The sequence below is a fragment of the Homo sapiens genome, chromosome 10, assembly GCF_000001405.40.
Source record: "Homo sapiens chromosome 10, GRCh38.p14 Primary Assembly".
Classification (NCBI taxonomy): Eukaryota; Metazoa; Chordata; class Mammalia; order Primates; family Hominidae; genus Homo; species Homo sapiens.
This window is the reverse complement of record NC_000010.11, coordinates 96,042,969-96,066,512: the sequence shown is the minus strand read 5'-3', so window position 1 is coordinate 96,066,512 and position 23,544 is coordinate 96,042,969. Positions and strand designations below refer to the sequence as shown.

General features: G+C 40.2%; 1 protein-coding gene, 1 long non-coding RNA gene and 1 other non-coding gene across 14 annotated transcripts in view, besides 2 other annotated features; 2 read left to right on the top strand and 1 right to left on the bottom strand.

Annotated features, from left to right (window-relative positions):
* The window catches only part of ENTPD1-AS1 (ENTPD1 antisense RNA 1), a 337,030-nt gene that overhangs the window by 23,723 nt on the left and 289,763 nt on the right, over positions 1 to 23,544 (top strand). The gene's annotated exons all lie outside the window — the stretch shown is intronic.
* On the top strand, positions 2,114 to 2,198 carry MIR3157 (microRNA 3157). The gene has a single exon (NR_036113.1). It is a non-coding gene; the product is annotated as a microRNA 3157 (primary transcript).
* On the bottom strand, positions 5,643 to 23,445 carry CCNJ (cyclin J). 9 transcript variants are annotated; one of them, XM_011539885.3, is made up of 6 exons: positions 23,278 to 23,445; positions 22,051 to 22,160; positions 16,047 to 16,257; positions 9,513 to 9,812; positions 9,266 to 9,425; positions 5,643 to 8,683 (listed from the first exon to the last, which is right to left on the bottom strand). In XM_011539885.3, the coding sequence occupies exons 2-6, from the start codon at positions 22,117 to 22,119 to the stop codon at positions 8,272 to 8,274; spliced, it is 1,152 nt and encodes a 383-aa protein (XP_011538187.1). In that variant the 5' UTR covers positions 22,120 to 22,160; positions 23,278 to 23,445; the 3' UTR covers positions 5,643 to 8,271. The 9 variants fall into 9 exon arrangements, with proteins under 9 accessions (XP_011538187.1, NP_001127847.1, NP_061957.2 ...); NM_001134375.2 differs by lacking the exon at positions 23,278 to 23,445 and adding an exon at positions 22,794 to 22,930; NM_019084.5 differs by lacking the exon at positions 23,278 to 23,445 and adding an exon at positions 22,794 to 22,930 and having other exon boundaries at positions 9,266 to 9,392.
* Positions 22,650 to 23,219: a silencer, noted in NCBI's record as "silent region_2652". NCBI's record gives its function as "represses an Ori minimal core promoter by ATAC-STARR-seq in GM12878 lymphoblastoid cells {active_cell/tissue: GM12878}" and the evidence as "EXISTENCE:reporter gene assay evidence [ECO:0000049][PMID:35858748]".
* Positions 23,347 to 23,541: a silencer, noted in NCBI's record as "fragment chr10:97802729-97802923 (GRCh37/hg19 assembly coordinates)". NCBI's record gives its function as "represses an EF-1alpha promoter that drives an FKBP-Casp9 reporter gene in an ReSE screen in K562 erythroleukemia cells {active_cell/tissue: K562}" and the evidence as "EXISTENCE:reporter gene assay evidence [ECO:0000049][PMID:32094911]".

The window sequence follows — 23,544 nt, the reverse complement described above, 5'->3', positions numbered from 1 at the left end:
TTCTGAGCATTGCTTTAGTTTTATCCCAGAGCTCATGATACGTAGAATTTTTGTTACAAGTGATTTTCTAGATAATTTGAAATTTCAGTTTCGATTTCTTATTTGACCTAAAGATTATTTGAGTTCTTTGGTCCTATTACATATTTCTTTTTAGTCACATTTTCATCAGAATATGTCTTCTGTAGTAATTCTACTTTTTGGAATTGTTGCAGTTTTTTGGTGGATTAATACATAGTCAAGTTTTGTAAAACCTCACATTAGAGTTTGATATTATCCAAGAAAACTTACAGAAATATAGTCAGTTATTAGTATACTGTTGTGTAAAGTGAAATCCAGTAATGGATTGACCTCATCTAACAAAGGCAAAAGTGGAAGTGTTTTTGCAGTTTGGAAACCATGAATTTTATTTTCTCTAGATAAGCTGCAGATTAGCTGGTAGCTAGCAAAGAGGCCAGTAAGGATATTCTGATCTCAGGCACCTAGATGGGTCAACAAAGAAAGCAATTTCAGTTATCTAAGGACTCTTTAGAAGACAGAATTTTGCTGTTGGCATGCGTGACAGGCTATCTCTGTACATCTGGCGGTGTACTTTGTTTTCTCTGCCGTCTTTGTTATTCCAGGTCTGCACCATTTCCTTCTCAGAATATCTAATATGTGTCCATTAGATGAACCATAATGGTGTGTTAGGGTTTTGTATATCCTTGCTTTTTTTTTTTTTAATGTTACTGATCTGTCATGGACTTAGAGAAATAAATTAGTTTCTTACCTACCATCTTTTTTTTTTTTTTTGAGACGGAGTCTTGCTCTGTCACCCAGGCTGGAGTGCAGTGGCGCCATCTCGGCTCACTGCAAGCTCCGCCTCCTGGAGCTTTCTCCTGCTTCAGCCTCTGGAGTAGCTGGGACTACAGGCGCCCGCCACCACACCCGGCTAACTTTTTGTATTTTTGGTAGAGACGGAGTTTCACCGTGTTAGCCAGGATGGTCTCGATCTCCTGACCTCGTGATTCGCCCGCCTCGGCCTCCCAAAGTGCTGGGATTACAGGCGTGAGCCACTGCACCCTGCCCCATGTTTTTCTTTTATTTCTCTGTAAAACCTTTATAGTTTGTGCATAATATTGCTACAGTTATTTGATCCAGAAGTATTAATAACTTCATCCTTATCATGAACTGTAACCTTTAGCATTATAAAGTGCCCTTTTTAAAATTTGGTTTAATACATTTTGGCCAAAATTCAGCCTTGTCTGTTATTAAGATCTTGATCCTTGCTTTTTGTTTGAGTTTTTCTGGTATCTCTACTTTTTCGTTGATCTTCAACCTTTCTTAATCATTTTATTTTAGACCTGTCTCTCATACAACATAGATTTGAGTTTCACTTTGTGATTCAGTCTGAAGTTCTTTTTCCCTTAATAGTTGAGTTTGTTTTCATTTATTGATTTGATATGTTTGGACTTAGTTCTGTCAGATTATTTTGTTATACTTTTGCTATTTATACCTTTAAAGTATAGTTTACTATATGGAAAGTTTGCTTTGTTTTATTCCTTCTTTTCATAATTAGAAAGCTTTGTGTTTTTGTTCCTGTAGTTAACTTTGTAATACAGATTGTATAATCAGTATTTCTGTTTTCTATTTAGCCAGTATCTCAGTATCTGTAATTCACTTTTATAAGTAATAACAGAATTAGTATATTTCCTTTCCTTTATTCTATCCCTCAATTCTATCAATTTTGTTTTCTTTCTTAGGGTTTACCTTTGTACCATTAAATATCCATGTACCATTCTTACTCAATTTGTCATTATTGCAGAAAGCTTTCTGACTCCCATCTTCTCTTACTAACCTACCCTGATACTGTCAGATCATTCTTCCTAAAACCACCATTTTCTAAAATCATTATTCTTTCTAAAACCAATCTTCCTAAAATCATCATTCTTCCTAAAATCACCAGTATCATATCACAAATCCTCAGCGATATCTCTGACCCCACAAAGTCTGTATTCTCTTCTGGCTTTCAAAACTCCGTAACTCAACCTCATTCTACTCACTCAACTTTATTTCCTCTACAACTTCTCAATGAGTCTGCCCTCACTGTCCAACAATTGAGCTGAGAATATAAGAAGGGAAGGGCTTCAGCCAGGCTAGTGCAGTCTGCTTTGTGCCAACACTGGGGTGATGACTGCCCTAGTCTAGCTGAAGCTTTTCCCTTCTTTCTACACCCAGCTCAAGTCCCAGGTCCATAAAACCTTTAGAAACTCTTCAGAAACTCTTTAGAGCTTCAGAAGCTCTTGAGAATTGGAAGATGTTTACACCCAAGTTCAAGGATTACTTCCATCCCATTTCTGGTCTATGTCAGGGGCCTCTGTTAACTAGGAACTCAGGAACTCTCAAAGCAGCACTACTCTGTTTGTAACATTCTGGCTTATTATTCATTGAAATGTGAGAAACTTTGGACCACTGACTTAATTCTGCCCTTTGCAGTAATAGGACTTCTCACATCTGGGAAGACAAGCATTTTACCTTTCCTTAGGCTTCCCCAGGTGAAAACACCACCAGTTCCTTCAGTTGTTACTCATATAACATGATTCCTGGACCCATCACCAGCTTGTGGCAAAACTTGGGTTTATCACCATTCCACTTAAAATTCAGTTCACAAGATTTTTGTAGATACGATCTAACCAGTGCTGAATCTGATGGGACTGTGCCTTCCTATGATCAGAGTACTCTACTTTTTAAATCAACCCAAGGCAGCATTTGTTTATTAGTCACTGCCTACTTTTACACTGCATTTTTGTTGTTGTTGTTTTGAGACAGGGTCTCACTTTGTCACCCAGGCTGGAGTATAGTGGCACAAACATGGCTCACTGCAGCCTCGACCTCCTGGGCTCAAGCAGTCCTCCTGCTTCAGCCCCACAAGTAGCTGAGACTACAGGCACACACCACCACGCCCAGCTAGTTTTTTTATTTTTTGTAGAGATGGGGTTTTGCCATGTTGGCCAGGCTGGTCTTGAACTCCTGAGCTCAAGTGATCCACCCACCTTGGCCTCCAGAAGTGCTGGCATTACTGGTGTGAGCCACCGTGCTGGCCAATTTTTTGTTACCTACATCCCAAGAGCCTATGATGTGCTATCATACATCAGATCCCTATCACACACAGGGGCGTAAGATGAGTAAGACAAAATCCCTGCTCTCAAGAAACATATGTTCATTCTATGAAATACCTAACCACGGATTTTCAGAACTGTCGAGGTCATCACAGACAAAGTCTGAGTAACTGTCACAACCCAGAGTTGCCTAAGACCTGAGTGCTAAAGGTAATGTGATATCCTGCATAGGAATCTGGGAGAGAAAAAGGATATTAGGGAAAAACTAAGGAAATTTGAATAAAGCATGGATTTCTGTTAGTAATAGTACATCAGTACTGGTGCATTGTGACAAATGTACCATCTCAATATATTAATAAGAAGAGAGACTGGCTGTGGGCTATATGGGGACTCTGTGTACTATCTTAGTAATAATTCTGTACATCTAAGCTGTTCTAAAATTAAAAATCTTAAGAAAAAAAAAGGACAGCCTGGGTAACATGGCAAACCCCCACCTCTACAAAAAATTGTAAAAATGAGCCAGGCATGTGGTGGTGTATGCCTACGATCCTAGCTACTCAGGAGGCTGAAGTGGGAGAATTTTTTGAGCCCAGGAGGTCGAGGCTGCAGTGGGCCATAATGGCAACACTGCGCTCCAGCCTGGCAGACAGAGGGAAGATATGTTTGACATAGTTTAGATATTTGTCCCCACCCAAATCCATGTTGAAATGTAATCCCCAATGTTGGAGGTGGGGCCTAGTGGGAGGTGTTTGTCATGGGGGCGGATCCCTCATGGCTTGGTGCTGTCCTTGTGATAGTGAGTTCACTTCATGTGAGATCTGGTTAAAGTGTGTGGCACCTTCGCCTACCCCCACTTGTTCCCACCAAGTGAGATTCCTGCTCCTGCTTACCCTTCTGCCATGTTTCTTGAGGCCTCCCAGAAGCCAAGCAGATGCCAGCTCCATGCTCCCTGTACAGCCTACAGAAGCATGAGCCAGTTAAACCTCTCTTCTTTATAAATTACCCAGTCCTGAGTATTTCTTTATAGCAATGCGAGAACGGCCTAACACAAGGTTCTAGTAGGGAGAAACTAGCAAGTAAATGGATACAAGACAGTCACTCTTACATTTTTAATTACAGGTCCCTTTGAGTAGACAAAACTTTAAGAATAGGGGAAATCATTTACATATAAATTGCATACCATGTCAAGGCTTCATGGACTTAAGAACTAATAAATTCAGGGTGGTGATGCTTACCTGGGAGGCAGAGGGTGTTATGGGAGGAAACAGAGTGGTAGTCAGGCAAGGATAGGATAGCAGGTGTCCTTCCCATATGATCCCTGAGCCTGGTCCTTATGCTGTCAACTGACTGTACTTGCTACTTTAAAATCTAAGGGATTGAAAAATGAATGTTGAGTGATTCCTAAACTAACACGATATTAAACCGAGTTCCAGACTACACCAGCCTAATTTTATTTAGTGGCAGACTCTAGCTCTGTTGCCCAGGCTGGAGTGCAGTGGTGTGATCTCAGCTTATTGCAGTCTCCACCTCCTGAGTTCAAGTGATTCCTGTGCCTCAGTCTCCCAAGTAGCTGGGACTACAGGTACGTGCCACCACACCCAGCTAGTTTTTGTACTTTTAGTAGAGACAGGGTTTCACCATGTTGCCCAGGCTGGCTTCAAACTCCTGGCCTCAAGTGATCCACTGGCCTCAGCCACCCAAAATGCTGGGATTACAGGCATGAGCCACCGTGCGGGCCTCTACTAGCCTAATTGCTGCAAGTGTGCTAGTCGTATTTATCAAACTAGATGTAAGCTGCTTGAGGCTAGGGAGGCTTTTACCACGTGCCTGAGAGGCAGTTGTTGGTTATAAACTTGCCACATGGGGCTCAGATCACCTCAAGGCAAAGCTACCTGGCCTGGTTTGGAATGCTTTTTCTTTTTCTTAAAGTCAGCCCTAAAGAACATGGTATATTAACTCTTGAGGGCTGCTAAACCCTGGCACTGTGCCAGAACAAGTGACAATACGATAGTTTTGAGACTAATTTCAAAAATGTTTTTTAAAAAGGCAGTGTAAATTCCTAACCCGCTTGTACAAACCTGTTAAATTTTACTTTTCAAAACAAATTCCATCTGCTAAGGTTTGAGTTGAATTAAGTAGCAAATGATATTTATACTCAGGTAAATAGACCATTCTCACTCACTGTAGACCCTATATTCCTTCTCATAGCTTTAACCATTTTCTGTGTCCCTACTTTTGACATCAAACTTCAGATTTTCTGATGCTTGCATGATTGTTGAATAAATTAGAATCTGTAGTTGCTAACATACTAACAACTGATTTTAAGCTCAAAAAGGCAACAGTGGTGTCCAATATACTTTTGTGGGCTTTAATGCTCAGTATGGAATACGCAATGAACGGATGTTTTATGCCACTAATGGCTATATTCTACATCTTGATGGCTTTTAGTAAATAAAATCATGATTCCAAGTCTGAATTACATGATGAGATGGTTCACTAGAGCTGCAAATATACAAGTTTGTATTTAAAACAAAAATACCGAAGCCATTTTACTGAAAACTAGTTTTATTTTAAAATTAAGTGCATAGCACTCATCTAATTCCATTGGTGTAGACTTTAGCACCATACTTGCTATTTGCAATTAATGTCGTAACACAGATACATTTTGGTTTGCAGTCTGTACTTGAGTAGTGTTTATTTAGTGGACTTTGGTAAAGCCCTTCATACATATTAATCTCTTCACAGTACACATTTAATGATGGTCCAGTATTCTCAAAAAAAAAAAAAAAAGCCTACTTTAAAGACTAATCAATAAATTAAACAAAACAAAACCCACACAATGTTCCCCCACCCCCCAAAGCTAGCAGTTGTGAGTTGTATTTATATTGAAACCTAATGTTTTAAAAATAGTTCTGGTTCTCCAACCACCCCATCCCACCCCGGGTATGCAGCAATAGTAATCAATTATTTTATTCTACCCTCCCAAAAGATTATTAATCCAGTGTTCTTTAGCTTTTTAAAATATAAATTGGGAAAGTGTTATTAATAAGCTTTTTTAAAAGGCATATTCTTCTATAACAAGAATGGCATATAAACCAATCAATAAAAGTATTTGACAAGACATTAAGTTACCACAGGCACTGGCTGTTGTTTCAAGTTGGGATCTCTATCCCAATATCTTACATTCATAGCATTATTGAGGTAGTTAAAATACTGAAAATTGGACTCCAGGTTGCTGGGTTCTGAATGTGAATGTGAAAGATATATTCTCTTTTGAGCCTACTTTCCCCCAAATAATTCAAGTTTTCTTGAGGTAAGAACTACCAAAATCCAATTAGCAGCCTTCTTTAAAAAGGAAAAGTGATGATACTTTCAGAAAACAATTTTCATGCTTAAAAACTGCCATGAGTGAGTGTTCTTACCTGAGTGGTTTTTCATTTTATCTACCAGACTAATAAATCCACATCATGCCCTATGTACTCTAAATATAAAAGTTATTTTCTTTTTAAGGAAAGGATATTTCTCTAAGCATTGATACTGACAGAAGCTACCCACCCACATTCATCCCCGGGAGCCATCTGGATCAGTCCATCACTGTGTTGAGCCCCTTCCCTTCCTGACAAAGGCCATTGGCTTGATTACTGAGACTCCTGCTGCATACCCACAACATCTTTATAGTAAGTTTGTCTTCGATGCATATTGTGGCAGTCACGTATCTGCCATGCAGTTTTCCCTTCTATTCAAGTGCTATCTTAAAAAAAACAAAAAGACACACCTTACTAATTTTTAAACCAGAAAGCTTCCCTCCACCAAATCTTTCTTCTCCCACAGAAAGGAGCACAATGTATACAGTTTATCAGTTATTACAATGACTTTTTAACTTTTTAAGGTTATTCCTCCAAAATGCTTTACCCCCAAACTGCCCTTGCTGTAATGACAATTATTGCTGTTTGCAGTTAATACTGGTACAGTGAAATGTCCCAGGGCAGTTGTAGGGTCAATCCAATGAAAGTAGCTACTGAAATTTAGTCATCAGTTACCTTTGCCTGCTTAGACTGACTAGAGCTGGATTCAAAGGTTGCTTAAAAAACCTGTCTTCCACATAACAAAGTGCTGCTCTAGCACAACCTGAGAACTACCCTGGCCACAGTCCCTTCCAAAATAAACCTACAGGACTTTATTCTAGCACTGACCTCTTACAGTTATGCCATCCCTTGAAATAACTTTTTAAGAATGTCGATTCTGAGTATAAATCATGGATTGCACTGAGATATGCAAAACCTACATATGTATTATGAATCACAGGAACTACCACTTCATTCTGAGCTATATTATGTTCTCATTTGAAAACACACCCTAGCAAGCGTATTTTAACCTATGTTATAAAGGTAGTTCACACTATAACATTCCCAAGGCATGTTGCATTACAGTTAAGTGTTTCCAAGTAGTACAAATTCCCTGAGTTAAATGTATTTTAATTCTAAAAATTTGATGTTGATCACTTAGGGAAAAAAAGAAAAATTATGACCATGATTTAAAAAATAAGATCTTCTCCACCCTTAATTTTAGTATATAAACCCAGATACCTACACTATTTGTGAGACGAAGTTATATAGAATCATCTAAAAAAATTTTTTTTACTGCAGATTGGTATAGCATAACAATTCATGAGTTTAAACTTAGTCAAAAATTCATGTGTAGAACAAAAATAAAAAATTGCAGAATAAAAAAAACCTTTTCAAAAATTAATACTGTAACTTTCCTTCATAAAAGACTGTTTGGCAAGTCCATAGATGAGATAAACATTTAGTCTTTGACTTAGAAGCCAACATTAGGCCCAGATGCTACCACAGGTCAAATCTCAAAATGGCAAATTGAAGTCTGTCCAAATTTTCTGTTGTACTGAATATTTTTGAAATATTTGGACCATCAGCCAGGACTTGAACATTTTTGTCATACAGGGATTTGTTGTAACAGAATTTGACATACTGTTAATTTGCTTAGTCTCCCAGGATTCATGGTGCATTAAAAAGGATATTCAGTCTTCCTGGTGCTGGTACCTGAAGAGTTCTGATGTCATTTAGATCCCTTTCCTTTTGAACAGAAGTTTACAAAACGCTTACCCATAGCTTCATGTCACAAAGCAGTCTGGGTCGGTTATCAGCTTCACAAATAATCACCTTTCAAAACATGGAGTAATACAAGGGTAATGTTCATTTATCTGATAACTCCGGTTGTAAGAAACACTCAGACAGGGCTTAACTTCTACTGGTATTGCCAGTGACATCCCAACACCAGTCTGCATGTGCCCAAGGCCCTGAACACTAGTTTGGAAGCCAGCAGGACATGTCTGTAGTGTGTAAGATGAGGTGTGTGTGGTCGATACAATCTGCTGACAGCTTGGTTGTTCTGACGTAGGATGGCGATACTGCAGTGAGGTCTGATGTGTCTGATGGAGATACTGAGGTTGCTGAAAGTGAACTGGCCGTGATGGCTGGGAGGCTGTCTGGAATACACTTAGTTGCGCTGACTGAGGTCCTGCTTGCCCTCTCTGTTTGTTTGCTTCTTTCACATCATTATCATGAGCGCTGAAACGTGGAGAGAAAGGAAACTATTAAAAATACTGCTTGAGAAGAAATCTGCAAGAAAATCATGCCCCATCCCCAACTCAACAGCTTCTTCCACCACCACTACCCAGGTAGCAGTCACTGCACCATAATTCCAACAACAGTGAGACCTCGCTTGTGTTCTTCTAAAGCTATTTCCCTTGATGTGAACCTTCCTGGTAGCTTTGAGGATTATTTCCAGTTTGGGAGATGTGTCCATAATAAGCACGTAAGTGTGGCTGCCAATTTGGTAACATCCTGGTGGCCCCCAAAATTCAATGATGTTAGGAATGGGGCAAGGCTGGCCTGGACTGATCTCAGGGTTACAGACTTACAGACACACACAAGCAGCTCCTTTCCTTATAATGTGCCCAGAATTATTCTAACAATGACACCTTCCCTAGAGTTCTGCTCATACATGGGCTTGCTCATGGCAGCAAGTAACTGCTGCCAAAAGCAAATAACCTAGGAACTCTGTGCCTTTCAGAAGCTGTTTTCAGGGCACCTCATACATGAAGAAAACTGTTAATGAGAAAGTACAAACACAAGAATAAAAAGGCTTACATCAACAGTCGTTCAATACACTGCACTAAGAAATCCCAAGAGTAGGCAGTAAGACGATGTAGTCTTGTAGGCCACGTTGGAGAAAGACGAAGTATAATCCTCGAAGAAGCCACACATGCAGCAGCTACTAAAGAAGGTGCATAATTTAGAAAGGCATAATCTGTGGAGACACCAAAAATGAACTTAAGGAACAGAATACACGAGTCACAAGTGCACAAGTCACTTACTGGTATTCACAACAACCCACCTTGCAAAGATACTTCCAGGAAGTAATCTGCATATTTGGCCATGTAGAGTTTAGTCTTTTCCAAGCAAATCATTGGCCAGCCGTCATGAAGATCTGTTTCGTGTACTGCTTCAGAGAGATAATACTCAATGAAATGGGCGGCTGTTGGAAGGCAGAGGTTCCACTGAAAGGTTTCTAATAATAATAGTTCCATATGTAGCAAATTTTGTTTTGTTAATACTAGATTCATATTAGTCATACAACCCAGGCTGTTGAGCTGCTCCAGCTTAGGCACACTGTCTTCTTTTTCTTCAAATTTACCTTATAAGAAAAGGGGATGGGAGGGGAGAGAAAATGTCAGGCAAGTGATCATTATTGGTCTAGTCAGTAAAATGGGATTTGCTGTCTTATTGCCAGGATTTAGATCCAAAGACGTACTTACCTTACACAGATACAATTGTGCCAGAACCCTGTGTTTTCTTTCCCAGTGCCACCATCCCCAACCTTTCCCCAATCCCCTAAAAAAAAATGCTTGAAATACATAAACATTTTGATCTGTGTTCTAGTATAGAATGGAAATAGTCATGTGCCAGTGAAAAAAATAACTCAATCTCATCAGCTGAATATTTTCAGGAAATTTTTTTTGCAGGTGGGTGGTAGCTGGTAAAATAAATTATTTGATTTTAGAGTAGAAGATAGTTTTTTTTTTTTTTGAGATGGAGTCTTGCTCTGTCGCCCAGGCTGGAGTGCAGTGGCGTGATCTCGGCTCACTGCAAGCTCCACCTCCCGGGTTCACGCCATTCTCCTGCCTCAGCCTCCCGAGTAGCTGGGACTACAGGCGCCCGCCACCACGCCTGGCTAATTTTTTGTATTTTTAGTAGAGACGGGGTTTCACCATGTTAGCCAGGATGGTCTTGATCTCTTGACCTTGTGATCTGCCTGCCTCGGCCTCCCAAAGTGTTGGGATTACAGGCGTGAGCCACTGCGCCCGGCCAAGAGGAGAAGATAGTTTTAACAATTTAATGTCATAGCTTTATCTGAAATAAAAAATAGTTAAGCTCCAATTGTTTCATCTTGGCATCAACATAATCTCAATTCCAGAGAGAGACTGGAGGGAAAAACTGGGTGAACATTTAACACAAGCACTATCATTCCACAAAAAGCCCCATCCCCCACTTCTTCTGAATTCAAAACAAAAATCTAGTCTGTTAAAGAAAAAAGGGGCATGGGGGAGATAGTTTATATCTGCTTTTAAATTCCCTTACTGAAAGCAGAATAGGAGTAAAGACAATATGATGGCTGAACATTATTCAAAGGGATTAATTTCTTTTCTGGAAATACCCATCTATAAGGTTTCAGCTATGCACAGCTGAAGAATAAGATTCTCTTTCCAGCCCCAGAATGTTTCTATAGATTATGTACCATCTTACACTTTACTTTCCAAACATGCATTTTACTGTCTCTACATATAAAGGCTTCATTTTAGTAAGTATTTCTAGAACTGATGGCTGGAGAACATTTACAAACTATTAAGTACTACTATGATTTTCCAGATGCAGCAACAGAACCAGAGTTGTCATCAAGCCTCTTTGGGTCTTTGTTCCATGGTGGTCCACAGAAGAAAGGAAATTATAACTAAAGCTCCTATTACTGTGTTCTATTTTAGATTTAAGGTTTAAAACCATCATATTATGCCTATGCCAGGAGATTCTAAGCTCATGTGTTGTGAAGAATCTAAGCCCAAGGAAGCAGGAGTGATGGCAGAGAGGTGAACTTCCTTAGATCTAAACCACTCTAAATATTGCTGCAGGTAGAAGTTGATCCCAAACTTAAGTAATTCAGACTTGAATCTAGATAGCCCTTCCTAATTAAAATCACATAAAGATCAATTTAACAAGTTTTGCCAATAGCAAATACTTAAAGTTGAAAGCACTAAAGTGGTCTGTATGACATAGTTATCCAGCTTATTGCCTGAAAAAAGAAGAGGGAACCAGTGTTCCTAGTATGAAGTGAAATTCTTCAGAAGGAGAATGACCTAGGAATTTAGTTCAGTGTCTCTGGATGAATCATTACAGCTTTCAAGCACCCTGCCATTTGTGAAGCAACAGCAATACTGGCAGAATACTTCAAAGGAATACTGTAGAAATTAATGAGTTTATTTATATTATGCTTAAAGTTCCTTTGAAGAAATTAATACATCATAATTCAAGGAGCAAGAATGTTTCATATTATCTCCTTGAAATCTTCAACATTGGGAAAAAAAATTGCATATGACCAATTTCACTGCTCAAAAACCAAGGTAGCGAGGTTGGCCAATCCATTTAAGGTCAGATAAGTTAAATCAAACCAAAAATGGAAGCCAAAAGGAAAATTTATGTTTGAATTCCCAAATTTGCACTTCTAGACCAGAACTGACAGATTTCTGTATTATTAAGCATCTATGGGATGTTTATATTTATAAAATATTTGGCTACAAGTGTGAAAGACTTTGCATATTGATCTTGCAAAGTTAAGAATAATCTGATTCTGAATAAATAACCATACTTGGGGTTTTAATTCAGGGTTCAAATTTTTTGGAACTTTTCCATTATGTATAGTAATAAATATTCAGATACATGGATATTAAAAGATTTCAAAAAGTGTGATAATGTCAATTGAGTACCTGCATTCCTATCTATAGTTTTTGTTGTGCTCACTGCTATGCCTATGTTCATTTTAAGTTTACTTATCCACATTACCACACACAGTTCACAAAGATCAGTTTCTTCAATTGAAAGGAAATAACAGAAGCCATGTGATTATATTGATAAAGGCCCCAAATAGGAAATAAGGGCACAGGAAATTCATATCTGCTTCCCAGAAAATAAAGAATTAGAGGCCACAGAAACAAAAACACTGGGTTGTCTTTCCTTTGTAGGATATGTTCATATCAGCCATGGAAACCAACACATTTTCAAAGCCAGCAGTGAATAGTAGGTATGTGGTAGAGAAGATTTATATACTGAATAGGGCACGGATCAGATGTCACCGAGTGCTCTGCCAACCCACATTCTATTTTTTTATTACTAAGTAGGGGGAAAAAAGTCATCCCTAACATACACTAAGAATTATCACAAATTTATAAAATGAATCTAATATAAAAATGGGCAAACAAAAGAAAAAGGTAATTCATAGAAAAAAATTCTGAGCTCATTAAAAATTGAGATGTAAATTAAACCAACTGTGAGATATAAATTTTCACACATCAGTAAAAAGCTTTGCTAACCCAGTGTTGGTTGGCAAGGGGAAACAAGCACTTGTTACAAATTGTTACTACTAAAAGCCTCTGTCTCACTTTTCACTTTGTCTTGACTCCAAGATCATTTCTTAGTTATGTAAGATCTTGAGCAAATTATGAGAAATCTTATCTCCAAGATTACTTCCACATGCTCCATAAATGTAATGTTGGTCACAGAAGCCAAGGGAAGCCAGGGCATACATGTGAAAGAGTTGGAATAGGAGAACTTCCCTGGACAAATTAGGGTCCAGTTTGAAATAGGTCAAAACCTTTAGGGTAAAGGAGGCAGGCTAAAGGTAACAGAGCAACTTATGGAGGAATTAATAATTACCATGCTAATCTTTTAATGTTTCCATTTCCTACATGCTTTTAAACATATTACCCCCACTTGATCCCAGAACAACTTTGTAAGGTATCTTTATTTCCATCTTATAAAGAAATAACCTGAGATTCAGGGGTTGTTGAAATTCATATTGCTGATGAGACTCCAACCCAGGGAATCCATCACTATGGTCATTGCTCCAAAACACTACACATAGCTCTCCAATCAGAGATAATCTGTAGGCCCTTTCTTCTTCTAATAGTGTAGACATAAGCATTTGCTTCTAGAACTTACAAGGTATGCTCCATCTTTGGCCAAACCACCTACGGCTTCCCATTACAATGAACTCCACAAATTTAAAACAGGAATCAGACACTGAAAAGAGTTTATCAGTTTATAAGAATCCTAAGCTCTTCTGCTGTAAAGTTACAGACTAGGGTTGGGGGGCAAGGGTAGAGAGACTGCTGCCTACTAAGGGCTAACCTCTTCAATTCCTGACCCTGGTGTAGAGCTGATAGCTCAAACTCTTTTGAACAACTTGCTACTTGGGAGGAGCAGAAATCCTGAAGAATACCTCACATACATTCCTACTCTCCAATGCAAAAGGAAGAATGTAAAAGCAATTCTTCCCTCAAGGAAAGGGAAATCAGGAGGCATCAGCAGAAAAAGGAGGGAGGTATCCAGTTCTTTCAGTAATAGGTGATAATTCATATTTGAACCCCAGCAAATACAGATCCTAATGTCTAATTACTGGAAAGAGTCACAAATAACTACATCTTACCACTGATATTAATCCAAATAGTTCAATAAAATAAATTGTTCATGACCTTAAACTAACAGAAATACACAATTTAAAAATAAGAACAATTGAAAACTCCATTCCAACCAACCTAAGATGGTACACAAAGATGGCCTTCCCACTTGGCCCACGCTACACTTTAAAAATCACAGGCATAGAGCAGGTGCTAGTGTTAAAATGACAGTGATAGCCACACAGTTACTTTCCATTAATGATACCAAGTTTTTAAAATAATCTAACTTGCATGTCTGATTTCCAGTGACACTCTACTGTAAACTGATTCTATAATAAACATTCTGTACAATAACAAAAATCCATTTTATTTGTGGACTCACACATCTAAACTGTCACGTGTGAGCTTTTCCAATCTTATACAAACTATTAAACCCCAAAGGGCTTCACAGCCAGTGATTAAACACATACAGTATTACACACATGATTACTTATGAGCATGAAACTTTAATTAGAGGCTAAATTAAAGGTTAATTATAAATGTACAAGCATTACCTCTCTGGCTCCTGGGTAGGGGGATGAGGGATGAGTGAAGTGTCTGAATTTTAGAGAACAGTAGATTAAGGGGAAATGTAGATATTCAGGAAGTAAATGGTATTCTAAGAATTTTGCTCAACGTACATGGGGATGAGACTGGAAAGGTGGCTGGGTCCAGATGAAAGATTCTAAACACTACATTAAGCAGTTTCCACCTTAATATATAGGCAGTGGGAAGTCATGCTGCAGCTGTGTTTTATTTACATTCAGCCTGGTTCTACAATGGATCTGAAATAACTTACAAAGGGACATTCTGGGGACAAAATAAGTAGTTGAGGTCATCAGATCAAAGGAAGAATAAAGGTCAGAAAATAAAATCTGAGAAGAGATTAGTACCAGAAATGATACTACATAGGACTACATTTGGTTTTAGATTTATAAGCAGCCAGGCACAGAAGTGCTAAAGAACTCTGGTGGCATGGATATAGGGGGAATGTTCCTTATTTCATCCCAGCCATATTTGACCCCAAAACCTCAAGGGAGAGTTAGAGGTGAAGGTTATCAGTATATCTACATACTCCTTTAAGATTCTATTATAATGACATGGATAATACAGAAACTACATTACTGATTTAACTTCAATATCAAATACAATCTTTATCCCTCAAGTGAGAGTTAAAAGTGAAGGTTATCAATACATCTACATACTATAAATTTCATTGTAATAACATGAATATAGAAACTATATTACTGATTCAACTTCCATATCAAATACAATCTTCCACATTATTAAAAGAAAAAAAAACACAATTTCAATTCCTTTACGTGCCCTATCTTCAGTGAGAGTACCAACGAGCAATGAAATGAGGTATAGGAAGATGTAAAGAGAAAGAGGGGCCAAAAGATCCACCAGTATATTCTGTACTAAGTAACAAATATGGTTGTATCAGATTGTATCTTGGAGCCTACTACACAGTTGGTCTAATGCATAAGCAAAAGTTTTCACATTTATAGTAGTTGCACATTAACTTTTAGTTCATTAAGCCAACTCATTATTTAGTCAGTAGAAAGTATTCTAATATAAGAATATGGTACTTTTAAGACAGTTTCTCAACTTTAGCTCCATTGATGTTTTGGGACAGAGAATTTTGTTATGGGAAACTGTCCTGTACACTACCGGATGTTTAGCAGCATCCCAGGCCTCTATGTACTAGATGCTAAAAAAGCATCTCCCACTTTATCACCAGATGTGACAACCAAAACGTCTGTACACGTTGCCAAGTGTTCCCTGTGGGACAAAACTGCTCCTGGTTTAGAACCACTGCTTTAAGACAATGGTTCTCAATTGGAAAGGTAAATCAAAATCACCTTTGGAACTTTTTCAAAAAGTTAAAAAATACCCAGTACCCATTATGTAGATTTTGTCTTAGTAGATCTGGAGTGGCCGAGAATGTACGGCTTAGGCACATGTTTTTAACAGGCTCCAAAGCCATTTTTCAATGTCTGGTTAAGAATTATTACACTGAGAAGCACTTTTAACATAAGCTTCTTGATACTAGTGAACTGGAATGAATGGGATTTGATGATATTTCACTGAGTTCTACATAAATTTATTTTATTATATAAACATCAGAAATTTCCAGTCATGTAAATCAGATTCATACTTACTTGCTAGAAGCAGGCAGGAAAGCGCAACTAAATGCAGCTGCTGGATAGAGATGTCATAGCGGTCCATAAACAGGTCCAGTAAATAGACAGCAAGATGGCGGGCAGAAGGGCAGAGTGTGAAGCGATTGCTCACAATGGCAATCAAGTCAGCAAAATACCGTCTGAGACTTAACTGAGGGGACTGGCCTTTATAGGAGGGCAACTTCAGCTCCTAAGTCAAAAGGAACAACATTTAGTCTGACCTATCTGTAGGCGTATCCCCACAAGGCAATGACTTAACATTGTTTTTCCAATATATTAGTATTACAAGTGCCTAAAACATACTTTTCTTGACTGGAATACAAAAATGAAAAAGTTAAGTGGAGGGATAATGAATGACATTTAAAACCAAATTTTTCTCCTTACTCTTAACCACTTCTGATGTGAACAATTATAGATGTTCTTGTTTCTTGCTTTCTAGAATGGATACATCCTACAAAGATTTTTAATAAGAGAATCCTGTTTTCCCTACCAGGTGTTTTCAGAAAAACATCCCTGACAAACCAACCACATACCACACACACGCCCCTACACCTCTCCAAGATGCTCAGAACTTTTGGTTAGAAGGTAATAGATAAGTGGATATGCTGCATACAGTATTATACTTGCAACAGTGTAGAAAGCAGTACCTTTCCTCTAGTATCTTCTAATTTTGTTTCCCTTTTAACAGTTTTATGATCTGCCCTTTCCCATCATCCTCTCATACACCTAAAATCACTTCAATCTCAGGACTATATTATATCAACTTGTTTTTTAAAAACTGGAAAAATTCTATACTATTAAAATATTTCCAGAGCATAGAGAAAGATGGAAAGCTTCCAAATTCATTTTATAAGATCAGCATAATACTGATACTAAACCCAACAGGTATCACAATAGAAGAAGTAACAGGGATACGATACCAAAAGCAGAACTTCCCCTACCCTGCAAAAAAAAAAAAAAAAAAGAAAAAGAAAAAGAAAAGAGAAATGGGACTTTAACAAAATTAAAAACTTTTGTTTAACAAAAGATGCTATCAACAGAGTAAAAGGGCAACCCGCAGAATGGATGAAAGTATTTATAATCATATCTGATAAGGGGTAAATAGCTAGATTATATAAATAACTTATACAACTGGATAACAACCAAAAAACCTAATTATAAAAATGGGCAAAGGATTTGAATAGACATTTCTCCAAAGAAGATACACACAAATGCCCAAAAAATATCATAAAACATGAAAAAGATGTTTGTTCAGCATCACTAATTATTAGGAAATGCAAATCAAAACCACTAACAGCACTTCACACCTAGTTGGATTGCTATTATCAAAAAACAAAACAAAACAAAACAAAACCAGATAATCATAAGTGTTAGCTTGAATGTGGAGAAACTGGAATCCTTGTGCATTCCTGGTGGGAATGTAAAATGATGTAGTTGTTACAGATAACAGTATGGCAATCCCTCAATAAATTAAACAGAGTTACCACATGATCCAGCAATTCCACGTTTAGGTACATACTCAAAAGAACTGAAAGCAGGGACTTGAAGAGAGATTTGTACACACATGTTCAAAACAGGATTACTCACAATAACCAAAAGGTGGAAACAATGCAAATGCCCACCAGCAGATGAATGGATAAACAAAATGTGGTATATACATGGAGTATTATTCAGCCTTAGAAAATTCTTATAATATACTACATGGTTGAACCTTGGAGACAGTATGCTAAATGAAAAAAGTCATGAAAGAACATTTATTGTATGATTCCACTTAATGAGTTACCTAGAATAGTCCTATTTACAGGGACAAAGTAGAATAGTGGTTATCAGAAGCTAGAGGGTGGGAAATTGGGGAGTAATCGTTCAATGGGTATGGAGTTTCAGTTTGGGAAGATGAAAAAGTTCTAAAGATAGATAGTGGTGACAACAATGCAAATGTACCTAATGTCACTGAACTGTACAGTTAAAAATGGTTAGAATGGTAAGTTTTATGTTATGACAGCTGCTGGCAAGGTTGTGGAGAAAAAGGAACGCTTTTACACTGTTGGTGGGAGTGTAAATTAGTTCAACCATTGTGGAAGACAGTGTGGTGATTCCTCAAAGACCTAGAGGCAGAAATACCCTTTTACCTAGCAATCTCATTACTGGGTATATAACCAAAGGAATATAAATCATTCTACTATAAAGACACATGCATGTGTATGTTCACTGAAGCACTATTCACAAGAGCAAAGACATGGAATCAACCTAAATGCCCATCAATGATAGACTGGATAAAATGTGGTACATACAGACCATGGAATACTGTGCAGCCATGAAAAGGAACAAGATCACGTCCTTTGCAGAGAGATGGATGGAGCTGGAGGCCATTATCCTTAGCAAACTAATGCAGGAAAAGAAAACCAAATACCACATGTTCTCACTTATAAGTGGGAGCTAAATGATGAGAACACATGGACACATGTTGCGGGGAACAACACACACTGGGGCCTGTCGGAGGGTGGGGGTGGGAGGAGGAAGAGGATCAGGAAGAATAGCTAGTGGATGCTGGGATTAATACCTAGGTGATGGGATGATCTGTGCAGTAAGCCACCATGGCAAACGTTTACCTATGTAACAAACCTGCACATCCTGCACACGTACCCCTGAACTTAAAAGTTGGGGAAAAAAAGTTTTATGTTGATACATTTTACGATAAACAAAAAAGGGAAGTTATATATTCACCTAACTTAATATTACCTAAGATAAATGGATAAAATAGTCAATGTAATTTAGTAGTGTAGCCAAAGAATACATCAATTGTTGTTTTTTGAGACAGGGTTTCCTGTAGCCCAGGCTGGAGTACAGTGGTGCCATCTTGGCTCACTGCACCCTCCACCTCCCAGGCTCAAGCAATCCAACCACCTCAACCTCTGGAGTAGCTGGGACTACAAGCGCTCACTGCCACGCCCAGTTAGTTTCTGTACAACAGGGTCTCGCTATGTTGCCCAGGCTGGTCTCCAGCTCATGGACTCAAGTGATCCACCTGCTTTCAGCCTCCCAAAGTGTTGAGATTACAGGTGTGAGCCACCATGCCTGGCCAAAAAAATTTTTTTTTTCCACATAAAGGGAAGATGCCGATTTCTCATGTAGTTCCTAGGATTTTTCTTTTCTCCTTAACTCTTTCTTTGGATCTTTACAATGGTGTAAGTGAGTTGCAACTTTACCTTTGCTGCCACCATGTGACATTTATTGAGCATCTCCCATGCAGCAGACACTATACTAACCCAGGCATAAAAGCTGGAAAAACAGTCTCAAGCCTATCTCTAGCAGGTGAATCAAATACAGAGCTTATCACACAATATAGTCACCACAGGTTATTATGGCAACACCTAGGAAGAAAATCTAACTTAGCTCAGGGATTAGGGAGTTGGGGAAAAAAGGCAAAACCAGAGCAGGTTTTCCCAAAAAGTGGCCTGAACATGGTCTTAAAGACTCCCTGGAAACACCTGGAAAACACTGATGGACTTCACTTTCTTAATGTTTCTCACAAAGCTAGAATTGTTCCCATTTGTCATTAAGGCTCCTAAAAACACTTTCCCAAACAGCCTATGACACTAACTATACACAGCAAAATAATGAGAAGAAAGGAGACAAAAGGGTGTAAGGTGACAGCTGCTTTGTAGGGGTTTTTTGAGGGAGTGGATAGTTGGCATGATTTCCATTCATTGTCATTTTCACTCTTCCCTAGTAAACACAATGCTAGTCACACCAAATATTTCTCCACAAACCTAGGGCCTAAACATAGAATACCTTCTGCAGTATCTCAATGGCAACTGCCCAAAGGAAGACCTAAATGTGGATGCTCTAAATTATAGATAAGGTTAGACTATGAAGGCAAGGATCATGTCTCGTTCACTGTTATTGCTCTAACACCTGGCATGATATCATGTATGTCATAAATGATCAACATGTTGAAGAAAAACAGATGACTATCCGACTGAATCACCAATTAATAGCCTGGAATTACCACGTCTTTTCTAGGAGAAAAGTCCATTTTAAGTTTCCTTCAGTGTATTACAAACAGTGGTCTCTCCAGTTCCACAAGTTTAAGTTTTACAGATTAATGTAAATTCTTGTATAAAGTGTTGCCAGTAAGAACCATGGTTTGCATAATGCTTAAACATAAAGACAACCCAGGGCAGTAGGCCATAGGTGGCCCAATAAAACTTTCAGTGGCATTCCTTCACACCCTGTGCTACCTTGTCCTCTGATAGTTCATAAGCAACTTGAGTGAGTATAAGGTTGGGTCTTATGCCTTGGATGCTCCAGAAACTAATCCACAAAAGCCTTCAACAAATCTAAATCTAGGAGAAAAAACAAAAAAACAAAGAACCCATGTCCAAACTCAATTGACAAAATGCAGATAATCACTCACGAATTAAAATGATCTACACATAAAATGATTGAAAAGTATGGAAATCACCAAGAAAAACCTTTTAAGTTTCATGCCAATTAAAAAATATACTCTTGGCTGGGCGCAGTGGCTCATGCCTGTAATCCCAGCACTTTAGGAGGCCGAGGCAGGTGGATCACCTGAGGTCAGGTGAAACTCCAACTCAAAAAAAAAGTACTCTTAATATCAACTAATTAATTTCACTACATACCAGAGGGATAAAAAGGCTGACACTTAAAACACTTTTCAAAATATGTGCAACTATATTAATTTTTTTAAAAAAGAAAACATTTCACATTGAAAGATGACATCTGCCAAAAAAAAAAAAGATCAAAAGTGTATCTGGACAATTTTCCAAGAAACTGCAACTCTTTCCTAACTAACACTCCAGAGATCCCATTAGTTAGAATTTTTATGTGGTATAAACCATCTCCTAGGGGGCTGAACTGTATTTTAGTGAATCTAAGAGACTGAATGTCAGAATTAGTTAAGTAGCATTTAGAAATCTCAGGCCTAGAAAAGGGTAACAATTTAAGTCAGAATTAGGTTTTCCAATCTACTTGACCTGGTCAGAAACTCAAGATAAAAGTTCATTATCATTCCAGGATCTCAACCCCAAGAGTCAGAATCCTTTTTATTGAAAGTCAGCTGTTTTGCTTCTTTCTCAATTTTCTACATTTAACAAATGGCTTTCTTTATCCAAGGTGAAACTGAGTTAAGCTAGAGATCATTTTGGATCTGGTCTCTCTTTTGGTTATCGAAGAGGCAGAAATGTCTCATTAATCTGCCTTGCCACATGCAGAGTAAAACCGTTACTTAATAGCAACAATACACAGACTTTGCTTTGTGTTGGAAAAGTATTTTTTTCCAATATCTATTAAGTCTACTTTCTGCCTTTGATATCAGCAGGAAGGGGCAGCCAACTCCCTCCACTTTAGGGCTTTTGAACAGCCCAAATCCTGAGGGGTAAGTGATAAGAAGTTATCACTTAGTGCTTACTATATACCAAGAGCAGTTTCTAAGCACATGTACGGTACTAACTTAAGTTTCACAATCGCCAGAATCATAAGGCACACTCATTATTCCTCATTTTACAGATGAGGAAATCAAGAAACAGAAATTTCACTTGTCCACGTCTCACGGCAAGTTAGCGGAAAGGCTGAGGAATTTATGTACAAAAGCGACTTAAACTGGCTGCATGCAACGGCAACTCTCGAACAAAGAGGGCTGTTCTGCCCAACAAAAATTCAGTGTATATATCTTTTAAAATACAAGATCAAATTCATGACCCACCTGGAAGCCAGAACGCCCCTTTCCACCTTCCCTGGCCCAACTACCATCTCCCTACTCATTCAGGTTGCAGGTTCTTTTGATACATCCCAGAGAAGGAGCCAAGAAGTTAATTAACCTTGAGCAAATGAGCAAACTCGCCTTTTCTGGCCCGGAAGATAGTGAGTAAAGAACCTGACTAGACCTTCTAGAGAGCCGAGATTCAGAACAACTGGCGCGACACACAGAAGGAGAAGGCAGGCCGGGCCTCGGAGTTACCTTGTAGCGAAGCGCTTGGTGAATATCGGCGGCCAGCTGTCCTCGCCACCACTGCCCCTCCAGCTCCATGGGACCCGGCGGCGCGCCCAGCCCGACGCGGCAACTCGAGTCTGTAAGACACACCCCAGGCGCGGTCACTGCCGGCTCCCCCGCGACCCTCTGCGCCCCCTCCCCGGGGGGTGTGACCTCAGGCCACCCGGTGTGGCTGCTCATCTTCACTTGACTCTTCCTCAACCCAGCCCGACCCGAGTCGTTTCCCCCAACGCCACACGCGAAGCCGGGTCTGCCCCCGCAGGAAGAGCCGAAGGACTCTGAGACTCACTGCTCGACTATGTGTCGGGCAAAAGGGGATCCACTCGGGCCCTGAGTTGCCAAAGCGCGGAGCCAGGTGCGAGCTCGGGAAGAGCTGGGGGAGGCCCGGCTGGGGCTCCCTGCGTCCGGGGCTGGAGTTCTCCCGCCCTCCCTGAGGAGCGGGGAGAGGTGACACGCTCATAGCCCCGCTGAGGGGAAACGCTCCCATGGCAAAGCCCGGGGGTGAGCGTCTGCCTGGCCGCGGGTCTCCGCATGGACGTCGGGAGCCTGCTCCTCCCCGGGAGCCCCGAGAAACGCACGTTCCGCGCGGCCTCAGAAAGGGGAACAAAAGGCCGGGCCAGCCAGGCTCTGCGCCTCACCCCGGGAGGGTCCGCTGCCCCACGCCTACCCCAGGCCTGCCGGGCCGCCCGGCCCCACGCTGGCTCCCTTACCCGGAACCGCGGCCCTCACAGCCCCAGCCCCGCCGTCGTGCGGCGGACGCCGGCCCCGCTCATGCTGCGGACAGTGGGCCGCTAAGCGCCGGCCTCAGCTAGAGCCCAGCGCCTGGACGCTCGCGCCGCCCATTGTTAAAGGACCGGCAGGCGGCTCCGCATACAAAGCCAGCGCGGGGGCACTTGAGGCCCCGCCGCTGCCAATCTCGTCTCGCGATACAGCGGGGTCGCCCCGAGCCGTCCAATTGGCGGCCGGGCCGGGCCCAGGTGCAGCGCCAGGCGGCGGCGCGGCGGCTCCCGCCTGGGTACGGTCAGCATCCCGCACGGCGCGGCGTGGCCTGGGCTGGCCTGGCGCTTCGGTTGCCGGGGCGCTCAGCCGCCACCTACTGCGAAGCCGGCCTGATCGCCGGCTGAGGTCGGCAGAGAGCGCCGGAGAAATTGTAAGGTGGATCACTGCAGTGACCAATCCAGTTAGGCCACTCACCTGCTGAGAACCTTCGATGGCTCCTCGATGCCCGCGGAGCAAAGTTCCGACGCCTCAGTTTGGCGTTTAAAAGTCTTCACGGCATGGATTCGGTTTACCTTACTTCACGTTGCACCAACCGCTTCCATCCCAGGGGCTGCTCCGTGGATCATCAGGCCCTCCAAATGTGCTTTAGCTGTTTCTGCAGCCCCTGAAGCGTTTTTTTTTTCCTGTGAAATTATGCTCTTTTTTTAAGTTCCACCTCAAACTCCACCTTTCTTCTAGAAA